Source organism: Homo sapiens, chromosome 8 (genome assembly GCF_000001405.40).
Source record: "Homo sapiens chromosome 8, GRCh38.p14 Primary Assembly".
In the NCBI taxonomy this organism is placed as follows: Eukaryota; Metazoa; Chordata; class Mammalia; order Primates; family Hominidae; genus Homo; species Homo sapiens.
In genome coordinates this window covers 119,113,636-119,126,875 of record NC_000008.11, presented here as the reverse complement: position 1 = coordinate 119,126,875, position 13,240 = coordinate 119,113,636, and the positions used below count along the sequence as shown (strand labels likewise).

General features: G+C 40.2%; 2 annotated features.

Moving 5' to 3' along the window:
- Positions 2,406-2,944: an enhancer, noted in NCBI's record as "NANOG hESC enhancer chr8:120136171-120136709 (GRCh37/hg19 assembly coordinates)". NCBI's record gives its function as "activates a minimal SCP1, AML or CMV promoter by ChIP-STARR-seq in primed H9 embryonic stem cells {active_cell/tissue: H9 hESC(primed)}" and the evidence as "EXISTENCE:reporter gene assay evidence [ECO:0000049][PMID:30033119]".
- Positions 12,132-12,426: a silencer, noted in NCBI's record as "tiled region #7316; HepG2 Repressive non-DNase unmatched - State 24:Quies". NCBI's record gives its function as "represses a minimal TATA promoter and a strong SV40 promoter by Sharpr-MPRA in HepG2 cells {active_cell/tissue: HepG2}" and the evidence as "EXISTENCE:reporter gene assay evidence [ECO:0000049][PMID:27701403]".

Below are 13,240 nucleotides of genomic sequence, written 5' to 3'. Positions count from 1 at the left end.
AACTCAAAAATGTCAACTTGATAAAAAATAAATAGATAATAAGATCACCATGGACATTATAACAATTTGAAATACCTCATGGAAGTGTCTTCTTGGAAAATTGTAATTGCTAGTCTCTCATTTGGGAAATTCCAGTAATTGTCAAGACACTCAGGGAAAGTGAAATTTCAGTGAATATGAAAATGATCATGAGTCAATAGGATTGATTTTTAGCCAGTGATTATATCTTCTTGTTCTTACCTTTGTTTGGTTTCTGTGTGAACCACTAAACACAGCCTTGTTTATTGGATTGAGATATTCAGACCAGTGTGCCTGGGAGGTTCAAAGCAAAGGAAAGCACGGCCTGTCTTTCTCTACTACCAGTTTTACTTAAAGGCCAGATGGACACATTATTTTATATTAAAATAAACACACTATAATGTGGAATAGATTGAAACATTTAGATAAATTTTTAAGATGAGATATGAAACTGCAAATAAATTTATTTTTGCAGCATTGACATACTTCAGCTTCCCTGGGCTGAATCACTTGGCAAGAACAAGTTTGCATGCCTAAGTTAACTGTGAAACTGGGAGGTGAGAGAGAACAGAAGGAAAAAAGAAGTGTAGGAGGAATTTTACAATTAAACAAGATGGATATTGGTGCCTTATGATATTTATATCCAAGATCCCACCGATCTTAGGCCACTGGGTAGAAGAACAAGATTGAGGCCTAGGACTTGTAAGATTGAATGCTCCAAGTAATTGTGATGTATCATGTTACCTGGGCAGGATGAAGGTAGAGTAATGGCATACCTTTGCCCTTTGTGTCTTTTCATTTATTTTCCTTTCTTCCATTCAGCCATTCAGTTCAATGCAAAGTCAACATAATTCAGAATACTAGTATTCCATTCAAAGACATATCAATGTTTAGATAGATGAACAGGTAGGTAGATAGATGGAAAAGAGAGAAAAAGAGACACAGAGAAAGAGAGCAATTCCATGAGTTAATGGAATCTTTACTCACACCTTGTCTTACCCCTACTCCTGCCACACAAAACCAAGACTGAGCACAAGACCAAGTGTAGCACAAGACCAAGATGGAGCAACTTGGGGACAATCACAGGAAATTTTGTCACAGCCAGCAAGGGACACTGTATTTATCCCTGGAACTGGTAAAGTGGGAGGATGAGAGTTTGGAATTGCAGGTGATCATCATTCCCATTATGGGATGAGGGACTACAGAAAAGAGCCAAACAAAGACAACAGGAACTTAGAGAAGGCAGAGCCCTTCAGGCCCCGCATCAAGATGCATTCCAATCCCACTGCAGTCCTGTGTTTCCCAGTTTCCTTTCCTGCTTCCATTAGTCTGAGTTGGGTTTCTGTCTCTTGCCATTAAAAAATTCTGGAGCTGCCGTACTATAGGAGAGCAACAAGCCTAGAAATGGTGGTGCAGAGGGAAAGGGGGGAAACTTGTTTCTAGAGTAACCATTACCTGTGCAAATGACCTTTTCCTTGATTGAGCTGACAGTGACTGAAAATAAAATGTCGAGTCGTGCCTCATGTGTAGCGATTTGATTAAAACGTAAATAAATCCACAACAACCAACTTACTGGAAGTTCTTTTTGGATAGCATAAAATATAATTGCATAAATATCCACTTTGCAAGCATGATGCCTGTGGTGCCAAAGAATGTCAGGGTATTGTTGCTGGAAATGTTTCAAAAATGGTTTTCAGAGATAAGGATTGGCAATTACAGGAGCGTCCTCAGAGACCTGAGATGCTAAGATGTGGACTGCACTCTTGAATTAACATCTGGCACTGTTTGCCTTAGCAATTTAGAGAGTTCCTAAAGTTAGAAATCATATCTTAGACCTTTTTGTAGCTGTCAAAACCAGCTCTGCAGACTCATCAGCTCTCCTTTCACCTGTAAATAAACCTATTTACTTGCAGGTATTTTATAAAAAGTCCCTACAACCAACTCTATTGTCTTAGAGAACTTCTCTTGGCTCTATTCTCTATTTCTTATTAAAAATCGCCTGTTCAATGCTAGGTTCATGTTGCATTGCATAACATCTGGTTTCTACTATTCTTCTCAGCTTTTTACTCTTGACGCTTTATTAGGACTGTCTGTATTCTGCTTGCTGTTTTTTTGAGACAGTCTCACTCCATCACCCAAGCTAGAGTGCAATGGTGCCATCTTGGCTCACTGCAATCTCCATCTCCAGGGTTCAAGCAATTCTTGTGCCTCAGCCTCCTAAGTAGCTGGGATTACAGGCACTTGCCACCATTCCTGGCTTTTTGTTTGTTTGTTTGTTTGTTATTTTAGTAGAGACAGAGTTTTGCCATGTTGGCCAGGCTGGTCTCAAACTCCTGACCTCAAGTGATCTGCCAGCCTCAGCCTCCCAAAGTAATGGGATTACAGGTGTGAGCCACCATGCCTGGCCTACTTGCTGTTTTTGAACCTTTTCCAGTTTATCTTACCCTGGTCTCCAGAATCCCTCCATCAGCCTTCATTTGCTGAAGAAGTGAGTTCAGTCCCTTTCTTTGTGCTATATATATTTGTTTGCTCCTCTAATTCCATGTCTATCTGGCTTCACCATGTTCAGAGCCTCAGGAGTCTGAATTTTATAGACAACAACAACTGGATGCTTTACCCACTGGTTTCCTGCTGGGATTGACCAATGGGAAGCACCTGTAGGAGAACAAAGGAACAGTAGGAGATGCAAGTGAGCTGATGACCTCTTGGCTTCCCTCCCTGACTGGCAGCATGTTGTTTTCCCACCTCCTAGGCCACAGTTCCTCTCAGGGAGCTCTTGTATGTGGCTCTCTGCAGGTTTGGTAAACGGTCCTCACATCGGCCCTACAGTCTCTGCTGTAACTGCTCTGCATGTTTATCACCCCTTGATGGTTTCCCTTAACCTTGGCTACACCTTTGTAAAAAATTCCCTTTGCCACTCTTCTCAATTACTCCATTTACAGTGCCATCTTTCCCATCCGGATGCTGACTAAAGTATCCCTGTTCCCTGATTGGTACATTGCACATTATAGGACCGGTAGACACCTAGAGACCTTGAGTTCTATTCATGGGTTCATCATGTATAAGCTGGTTATAGGGCAAATATGTATTCATTACTCATTACATCCTGGACACTTTGCCTTGGACTTCGTGCCACAATGATGAATGTGGCATGATCCCTGTCTTCAACAGAAAATACTATGAAAGAAACATGTAGAGCTTCACTGAGAGAGATCCCCAAGGGACTTCGGGAAGCTGAGTTATGTGAACTGTATTTTATCAAATGAATGAAAAGTTAGTCAGCAGATACTATCGTCTGAATGTCTGTGTCAGCTCAAAATCCATATTTTGAAATCCTAACCCCCAGTGTGAAGGCATTAGAAGGTGAGGCCCTTGGGAGGTGACTAGGTTACCAGGAAGAATGGCGTGAACCCGGGAGGCGAAGCTTGCAGTGAGCCGAGATCGCGCCACTGCGCTCCAGCTTGGGCGACAGAGCGATATTCCGTCTCAAAAAAAAAAAAAACCTCGAAGAGCTCCTTTTTTCTCACACTTCCTGCCGTGTGTAGACACAGTTAGAAGACAGCTCTCTTTAAAACAGCAACTGGGCCCTCACCAGACACCGTATCTTCTGGCTCCTGGGTCTTGGAATTCTCACCCTCCAGAACTGTGAGAGCTAAATTTCTGTTGTTTGTAAGACATATAGTGTCTGCAACTCTGTTATAGAAGCCTGAATGGACTACGACAGCAAGCAACAGGGAACAATACATAAAGGAGGCAACACACACAAATCAGAGAGACAAACCTGTCATAGAAACTGCTAGTATATGTGTCTATTTGCAGGTATGTCCCTGGAAGGAAGTAGCAAATGGCAGGAGGTGAAAATGCAAGCAAAGGCCATATTATAAAGAATGCATATTCATTTATCAAATATCTAGGTTTCACAGCATGTCATGTTGTGAAGTTGTGTCTTTAATCTGCAGGTCTACAAGACTAAAGAGCTAGGATTGGAGGCAATACTTCTGTGACTGTATAACTGCAAAAGTTAGAAAAATGGTTGGCATCATGAAGTCCTATTCTATTCTAAAAATTAGATAAAAGCAGCACATCCTATTATTTGCAAGTAACAAGGATGTGCTAAAGCAGTAGCAAGAGAGGAAAATAGCACTCATTTAAAACTGATGTAGAGTAACTTCTCTAGTCTAGAACAATATTTCTACAGCAGAGGGACATGAATGCTTTTAGAATCCCAGAAAAAGGACTTGAGGTCCCACCACTGTGGACCCCTGAGATGATGCTTCCCTCCAGCAGCATTCTCAATGTCCTTTAAGAAGACTCCATGTTATCCATCTTTCCATCACACTCCCTCTCAGGATAACATCACTCCAGCCCAGGGTACCCGAATGTGTCATCTTCCCCCTCTCTGTCAGAGCAGTTGTTTCTCAAGGTTCTTTTTAGGAGCTTTATCATGTTTGACTTTAAGTGTTTTCAACCAGATCCCCATGGAACACTCTATCTCTATTAGAATCATTTTCTTTATGTGAGTGTATATTTTTCCTTGCCTTCTGAGGGATAGAAATAAGAATGGTCTTCAAAATTCTTGAAATGTCTATTTGTTTCTTTTGAAGAATGGATGAAATGTTTCTAAGTTGCAAACATATTCATAACCAATGGAGGTGTTGTGTAACAGTAATGTTTTTATAGTCTTTTTTCTTCCCCACACATCCAGGAATAGACGTGTTGTACATACAGATGACAAGCTTATAAAAGTTGAGTTTTGAGAAGTCACATAGAACACATGTAGCAAAGCCATAGCAGAAACTCTGGACCTTCCAAATATGCCCATCATCACAGGGTGAAACAGAGAAGTGCAGTGATTAGGAATGCAAGCACTGGACTGGACTGCTGCATTGAAATCTCAGCAGGGTGGCCTGAGGGATATTATTCAGTGTCTGTGCCTCAATTTCCTTATAGGTAAATTGAAGATAATTATAGTATGTGTCACAGACTAAAACATGTGAAATGCTTAGCACAATGCTGAAATTACAGCATTATATTTATAACAATAATAGTTATGACTATGTTCTGACTCACATGCCCAGCCACCATTCTTGGTCTTGCTGTTTTAACTCTCCTTTATGAGCAAGCTTCTTGAAAATCTTTTCTATGTACACTATCTCTACTTCTTTCAGCCCATTTCCTCTCCAAGCCTATTCTACTTTGTTTTTGTTTTCCATTCTGGTACTGACAAACACAATAGATAGTTTTTTGGGTTTTTGTTTTTTTTTTTTTTTTTTTTTTTGGTTTGTTTGTTTGTTTTTGCGATGGAGTCTCACTTTGTCGCCCAGGCGGGAGTGCAGTGGCACAATCTCAGCTCACTGCAACCTCTGCCTTCCGGATTCAAGCAATTCTCCTGCCTCAGCCTCCTGAGTAGGTGGGATTCCAGGCATGCACCACCACACCCAGCTACTTTTTGTATTTTTAGTAGAGACGGAGTTTCCATGTTGGCCAGGCTGGTCTTGAACTCCTGACATCAGGTGATCCTCCCGCCTCGGCTTCCCAAAGTGCTGGGATTACAGGCATGAGCCACCACACTGGCCTCCAATAGATACTTTTTAATTGCTGTTTTTACTTGAACTTTCAGAGACATTCAATACAGTTGTCTGTTTCTTTGTTTTCAAACATTTCTGATTCTATTACTACTTCTCTGACCACTCTTTGTCAGTCTTCCTTAAGAGACTCTCCTTGTTCCTTCTCCTCAACCTTCAAATATTAGGATAATTTGTATCTCAGTCCTGGGATATCTGCTCTCCTCACTCAACATCTTTACTCCAAGCAACTTCACCTGCTTCTGTAGTGTTAAATCCCATCTATATGTCCATTATTCCTATGGTACTCTGTGGCCAGGACTGCCCCAGGGAAGAGCTTAAAAGAACATAAATGAGAAATGTCCAGGTTTTATGACAAGAGTCTCAGATAAATTGAGATTGCAAAATTGCTGGCACGGAAGAATTTCAAATCTTGGAACCTGGTCTTTGGGCACATAGGATATGCCTTTGTTGAGTTGCAAAATTATTGCCTTACATAGCAGCATAATTTGGTTCTGACAAGGCCTTTTAAAAAGGAGATTTTCATGTGTCTGTTGGCTGCATAAATGTCTTCTTTTGAGAAATGTCTGTTCATATCCTTTGCCCACATTTTGATGGGGTTGTTGTTTGTTTTTTTCTTGCAAGTTTGTTTGAGTTTTTTGTAGATTCTGGATATTAGCCCTTTGTCAGATGAGTAGATTGCAAAAATTTTCTCCCATTCTGTAGGTTGCCTGTTCAATCTGATGGTAGTTCCTTTTGCTGTGCAGAAGCTCTTTAGTTTAATTAGATCCCATCTATCAATTTTGGCTTTTGTTGCCATTGCTTTTGGTGTTTTAGACATGAACTCCTTATCCATGCCTATGTCTTGAATGGTATTGCCTAGGTTTTCTTCTAGGGTTTTTATGGTTTTAGGTCTAACATGTAAGTCTTTAATCCATCTTGAATTAATTTTTGTATAAGGTGTAAGGAAGGGATCCAGTTTCAGCTTTCTACATATGGCTATCCAGTTTTCCCAGTACCATTTATAAAAAAATGCTCATCATCACTTGTCATCAAAGAAATGCAAATCAAAACCACAGTGAGATACCATCTCACACCAGTTAGAATGGCGATCATTAAAAAGTCAGGAAACAACAGATGCTGGAGAGGATGTGGAGAAATAGGAACACTTACACTGTTGGTGGGACTGTAAACTAGTTCAACCATTGTGGAAGACAGTGTGGCAATTCCTCGAGGATCTAGAACTAGAAATACCATTTGACCCAGCCATCCTATTACTGGGTATATACCCAAAGGATTATAAATCATGCTGCTATAAAGACACATGCACAAGTATGTTTATTGCAGCACTATTCACAATAGCAACGACTTGGAACCAACCCAAATGTCCATCAATGATAGACTGGATTAAGAAAATGTGGCACATATACACCATGGAATACTATGCAGCCATAAAAAATGATGAGTTCATGTCCTTTGTAGGGACATGGATGAAGCTGGAAACCATCATTCTCAGTAAACTATCACAAGAACAGAAAACCAAACACCGCATATTCTCACTCATAGGTGGGAATTGAACAAAGAGAACACATGGACACAGGAAGGGGAACATCACACCCCAGGGCCTGTCGTGGGGTGGGGGGAGGGGGAAGGGATAGCATTAGGAGTTATACCTAATGTAAATGATGAGTTAATGGGTGCAGCACACCAACATGGCACATGTATACATATGTAACAAACCTGCACATTGTGCACATGTACCCTAGAACTGAAAGTATAATAAAAAATAAATAAAATAAATAAAAATAAATAAAAATAAAAAGGAGAAGATTTGATTGTTCAGGGATTCTCAGATGTAGTGTACTTCTCACCCCATATGAGGTTGCTGAGTATTACCACTGTCTTGAGTGAATTCTATTGAAGAATAGCAGGGAAACTTGCTCAGATGTATAATTTGGTAGGTATCACTGTTGAGTAATTAAGAAAATATCTATGAGTCTTGTGTCTTTGAATTCATCTCTGATTTCTTTGATCTAGGTCTGAGACATTTTTTGCATGTGAGCTGGATAGTAAAAATGATTAAATAGCTTATGTGAGAGGAGAGGAAACAAGGCTAACACAGCACTCCTCTGTCAGAGTGCACTAATGTTAAGCCTGGTACATGATGGTAAAAGAGTCAAAGACTTATTAGGAACATTCGGCTATTGAGGGAAAAAGGGAAATTTATCCTGATGGATCCTAAAGGAGGCAGATTAAAGACTAACCCTTTCTTATTGCCCCAGAATGGTTGGAGGGCAGAAAGGCAGGACACTAAGAAAGAAAAAGCAGAAGCAGACAGCAGTAGCCCAGTTATTCCTGGAGTAAATCAATAAATCAAAGGGGCGGTAGTACATGGAATTGCTGATCACCAGGGCAATGGGGCCTTGGGCAGAAAATACAATGTCCTCCACCATCTTTAAGAAAGATGTAACTGAATAAACGTAATATTTCTGAGGAAAGCCCTGGAAGATCTTGGATACAGTATATGATCAAATATGTCAACAGCTGAAAGATTTGATTCCCTGAGACTTCTAAAATTAGTGGGTGCCCCAGGTTCTTCTTCTGTCAATGAATAGAGTATGTTTCACATTATCCTTTGCCACAACCAGCAGTGTCAGCTTAGGTCTTCTAGTAGGAGAATGATGTGAAGCATCTAAGACTGAAATAGACAGTCTACCTGCTTTCTTTTGGGAAAAATATCTCCAGCAGCTGGGTGATATGGTTTGGCTCTTTTTCTCCACCCAAATCTCATGTTGAGCTGTAATCCTTAATGTTGCAGTGTGGGGTGGCCTGGTGGGGATTGGTCATGGAGGTGGATTTCTCCCTTGCTGTTCTCATGACAGTGAGTGAGTCTCATGAGAACTGGTTGTTTATAATTGCATACCACTTCCCCTTTCACTCTCTCTCTCCCACTCCACCATGTGAAGAAGGTGCTTGCTTCCCCTTCACACTTCTGCCATGATTGTAAGTTTTCTGAGGCCTCCCCAGCCATCTTTTCTGTATAGCTGTGGAACTGCTGTACAGGAAGATTAAACATCTTTTCTTCACAAATTACTCAGTCTCATGTAGTTTTTTTTTTTTTTTTTTTTTTTTTGCAGTGTCAGAATGGATTAATACAGAGAATTGGTACCAGGTAAGTGGGGCATTGCTATAAAGATCTCTGAAAATGTTGAAGCAACTTTGGAATTGGGTAATGGGCAGAGGTTGGAACAGTTTGGAGGGATCAGAAGAAGATGGGAAAATGAGGGGAAGTTTGGAACTTCCTAGAGACTTGTTGAATGCTTGTGATCAAAATGCTGATAGTGATGTGGACAGTGAAGTCCCAGCTGAGGAGGTCTTAGATGGAGATGAGGAACTTATTGGGAACTGGAGCAACGGTCACTTTTGCTATGCTTTAGCAAAGAGACTGGTGGCATTCTGCCTCTGCTCTAGAGATCTGTGAAACTTTGAACTTTAGGGAGATGATTTAGCGTATCTGGTGAAAGAATGTATCTTGGCTAAAATGGGCCAAGGTATAGCTCAGGCCACTGCTTCAGAGGGTGCAAGCCCCAAGCCTTGGCAGCTTCCACATGGTTTTGGGCCTGTAGGTGTGCAGAAGGCGAGAGTTGAGTTTTGGGGGCCTATTCCTAGATTTCAGAGGATTTATAGAAATGCCTGGATGTCCAGGCAGAAATCTGCACAGGGGTGGAGCCCTCATGGAGAACTTCTACTAAGGGACTGCAGAGGGGAAATGTGGGGTTGGAGCCCCAACACAGAGTCCTCACTAGGGCACTGCCTAGTGGAGCTCTGAGAAGAGGGCCACCATCCTCCAGACCCCAGAATGGTAGATTCACTGATAGCTTGTACCATGTGCCTGGAAAAGCCACAGGCACTTAACACCAGCCTGTGAAAGTAGCTGCAAGGCCTGTACCCTGCAGAGACACAGAGGTGGAGTCTTGGGAGCTCACTCCTTGCATCAGCATGATCTGAATGTGAGACATGGAGTCGGAGATTATTTTGGAGCTTTAAGATTTAATGACTGCCCTGCTGGGTTTTGGACTCACATGGGGCCTGTAACCCCTTTGTTTTGGCCAATTTCTCCTTTTTGGAATGGTAGCATGTACCCAATGCCTATACCCCCATTGTATCTTGGCAGTAACTAACTTGATTTTGATTATACAGGCTCATAGGCAGAAGGGAGTTGCATTGTTTCAGAAAAGACTTTGGACTTGGACTTTTGAGTTAATGCTGGAATTAGTTAAGATTCTGGCAGACTGTTGGGAAGGCATGATTGGTTTTGAAATGTGAGAAGGACATGAGATTTGGGAGGGGCCAGGGGCAGAATGATATGGCTTGGCTCTGTGTCCCCACCCAAATCTCATGTTGAACTGTAATCCCTAATGTTGGGGAAGGGAACTAGTGGGAGGTGATTGGATCATGGGGACAGATTTCCTTGCTGCTGTTCCCACGATAGTGAGTGAGTTCTCAGGAGATCTGATTGTTTAAAAGTATGTGTCACTTCCCCTTTTTCTTTCTCTCTCCTGCTGCACCATGTGAAGACAGTGCTTGCTTCCCCTTTGCTCTCCTGCTGTGATTGTTAAGTTTCCTGAAGCTTCCCCAACCATGCTTCCTGTAAAGCCTATAAAACTGTGAGTCAATTTAACCTCTTTGCTTCATAAATTACTCAGTCTCAGGTAGTTCTTTATAGCAGTGTAAGAGCCAGCTGATACACTGGGACACCAGTTAAAACAGCACTTTGTCCAGTTTTGGTGAATTGAGGTAGGATTTATTGAGCTTCATGGGAAGGAGATTCAGTAGATTAAAGGTTCCCTCCAAGATCCACTAGAATAAGAGCACATAAACCTAAATGAGAGTGAGTTAACTTTTAGTGATCTAAGCACAAAACAGATGAATTTGCCTTTTACCCTTGATTATTGGATGTCAAAGGAAAAAGCCATGTTAAGAGTAAGGAAGCTGTGAATCTATAATCCCAATGGGTATGTGGTAATTACACTTCTGCAAAATGTGAGGATATTCTTCAACAACTATGGCTTGTAATTCTTAGGAATTAAGGTACCAGACAGATTGTTATTGCAGGTATGTTTCAGAATCCCAGCATGCAAATTTAGCAGTGATTGCTAGCAATTTAAACATAAATATTGCCAGTGAAATAAATTTTGCATACCAGAGCCCAGATATTAAGTATTTTTATGTCCATTTGTAACTGAGAATTTGTGGTAATAAAAAAGGCACATCCTTTGCCTCATATATAAATTCACCTTGCAAATATCTAGATAATTCATAGGGCCATGAAAAGGTGAGGCCAAAATATTAGTGCGCATTGAGCTATTGAATTTTCTGAAATATAAGGACAGAGGAAACTTAAAACATTTTTGAAGAGAAGCAGTTGTATAATGCCCCATCCCATCCCTGATGAGATAGATAATCTAAGGAAAGAAGTGGTAAAGTATTTTCTCTTCTGCACTTTCAAATATGAAGACACAACCATATTTATTTACTCCCTGACATCCTTTACTTACTCTTTTTATAAAATCTCTCTATTCTGAAGGATTTAGGGTTAGGAAACCCAGAAGGAATATTTTTCAGCCTTTTTCAGAAACTGTCCCTTTTTGATATTTCATTCTAGTGTCTCAAATGCATTTTTAAAATATATCAATTTATTTCCTTTTTTATGTCAAATATAGAGATCAAAACTGGCAATAGCTACTTGTGTTTTTTAATTTTGTTCTTTAGTCTTTAGGTCCTTTAGGTATTTTCCCCTAAAGTTTAGAGAAAAAACAATGTACTTCTTCTGTGAAAAAGAAAGTATAGTGTCTGTAAGTTCCATACAATAATCCTTCATCAATCGCACAGTTTACATCCCTGAAAATGGACTGACCAAAGTCAGCAAAATCAAAGATCATACAAAACAGAGAATTTGGGGAAAAGTATTTTTAAACATAAACATTTCCAGAAAGTATCCACTTCTAAAACACATCTATTTCTCCTGGTAAGCTTTCTCTAGAATCACCTTCTCTGAGTTTATTCAGGAAATAGCCATGTGAAGTTGTCATCTACTAGGGAACGGTCAACCAAAATTTTATAGTATGTAGACAACACTTCTTAGTAAAAATATTAACCTAGACCTTGTTGGATTTAAATGGAATGTGTTTTGAAGTTATAGCTCCCCTTACTTCATTTGATCAAGACTTCAAAAGTACTTCTGTACCTTCCTGGATTTTTTTACACATCATAACAGGGGTTATGAGTACCCTTCCTAAGCCTAGCATTCCATCAACACATCAATAGGTGGATTGAATTGTAGACAGTTAGCATCTCCAACACCTCTCCCAAAGGGCTGTCAACTACATTTACACAAAGAGGAAGGATTAACATTGATAAATTAATCAGTTTAGTCGTTCTAAAGTAAAAAAAAAGTAGGTCAAAGTGCTATATAGCTTTAAAATTGTATAAACACCCATTAGTCTGCATTATCTCCCAGCTGCAGTCATCAACATGGTGATTAATTTGGAATTGCTGTGCTCACATTTTAATGCATTATAAAATGACTGACTCACTTCTCCCTTTCTCCCTACCCCTCCTTATTTCATTATGAAAGTGATAATCTATGCCAAATCTGAGTTTCACTGAATGTCAAGTGTAGATCACTAGGGAAAACTAAGTCAAAAGAACATTTGCCACTTGCCAACGCTCATTCATGCACAACCACAAGGATTCATTCTATCTTGGGAGGAAATGGTGTGGGTATTTACAATGACATGGGAACACCTTGTTCACATCATAATGAGTAAGACAAAATGGGCATGTTAATGTATTTGAACAGATGTGTCAATGTTATTCTTCAAGAAAGGGTGATGCAGTTCTACAATTTTTTTTGCCTTATTTCAGTATATTTTTGAGAGCTATGATGCTGCAACATAACATACGTATAAAAATAGGGTAGATTAATATAATCCTGACAATTGAATCTTGAGCCTCAATGCCATAGGCTTGATAGTCAGTGAATCTGAAGGCTAAAGATCTGATCTGTCTTCTTCTCTATTGTGTCTCTACCACTTATCAGGGTGCTGCCTAAAGCATATCAGATACTCCATAAACATTTTTGATGAGTTAATGAGTTAACAAACTCTACTAGTCATCTAAGCTATAGCCTTTCTAATTGTTCACCGTGTAGGCATCATGCATTTGAGCTCCGATTTTGACTTCATTCTCCCACTGGCACTGGGCCCCTGCTCTGAACCCTCTCAAGGGTGCCTTACCAACCATCTCCCTTTTAAAGACTTCCTCCTCTGGGGGTTGAACCCTGTCTACCATGCACCACCTTCTAATAGACTAGTTATGTTTGAGATGTTGCAGTTGGCTTTGAATACAATTCGTTCTCCACATTTGTCTCTTGTGTTTCACCAACAAAATTTAAACGTATTGAGTATGGAGCATATGATCTAGGTCTTGAGGTTTGTGTAGTCCTATTTATTCACCTTTGTGTCTATAGTAAGGACAGTTATTCCCTTTCCTATTTGTCTTTTCTTTAAGACTCTGCTCTTGGTGCTCCAGCTTGTGTCAGCACCAGACTTCCCAGAGTTATAAACAGCAGAAGAAAAGGAAGGAACGGAAATCAG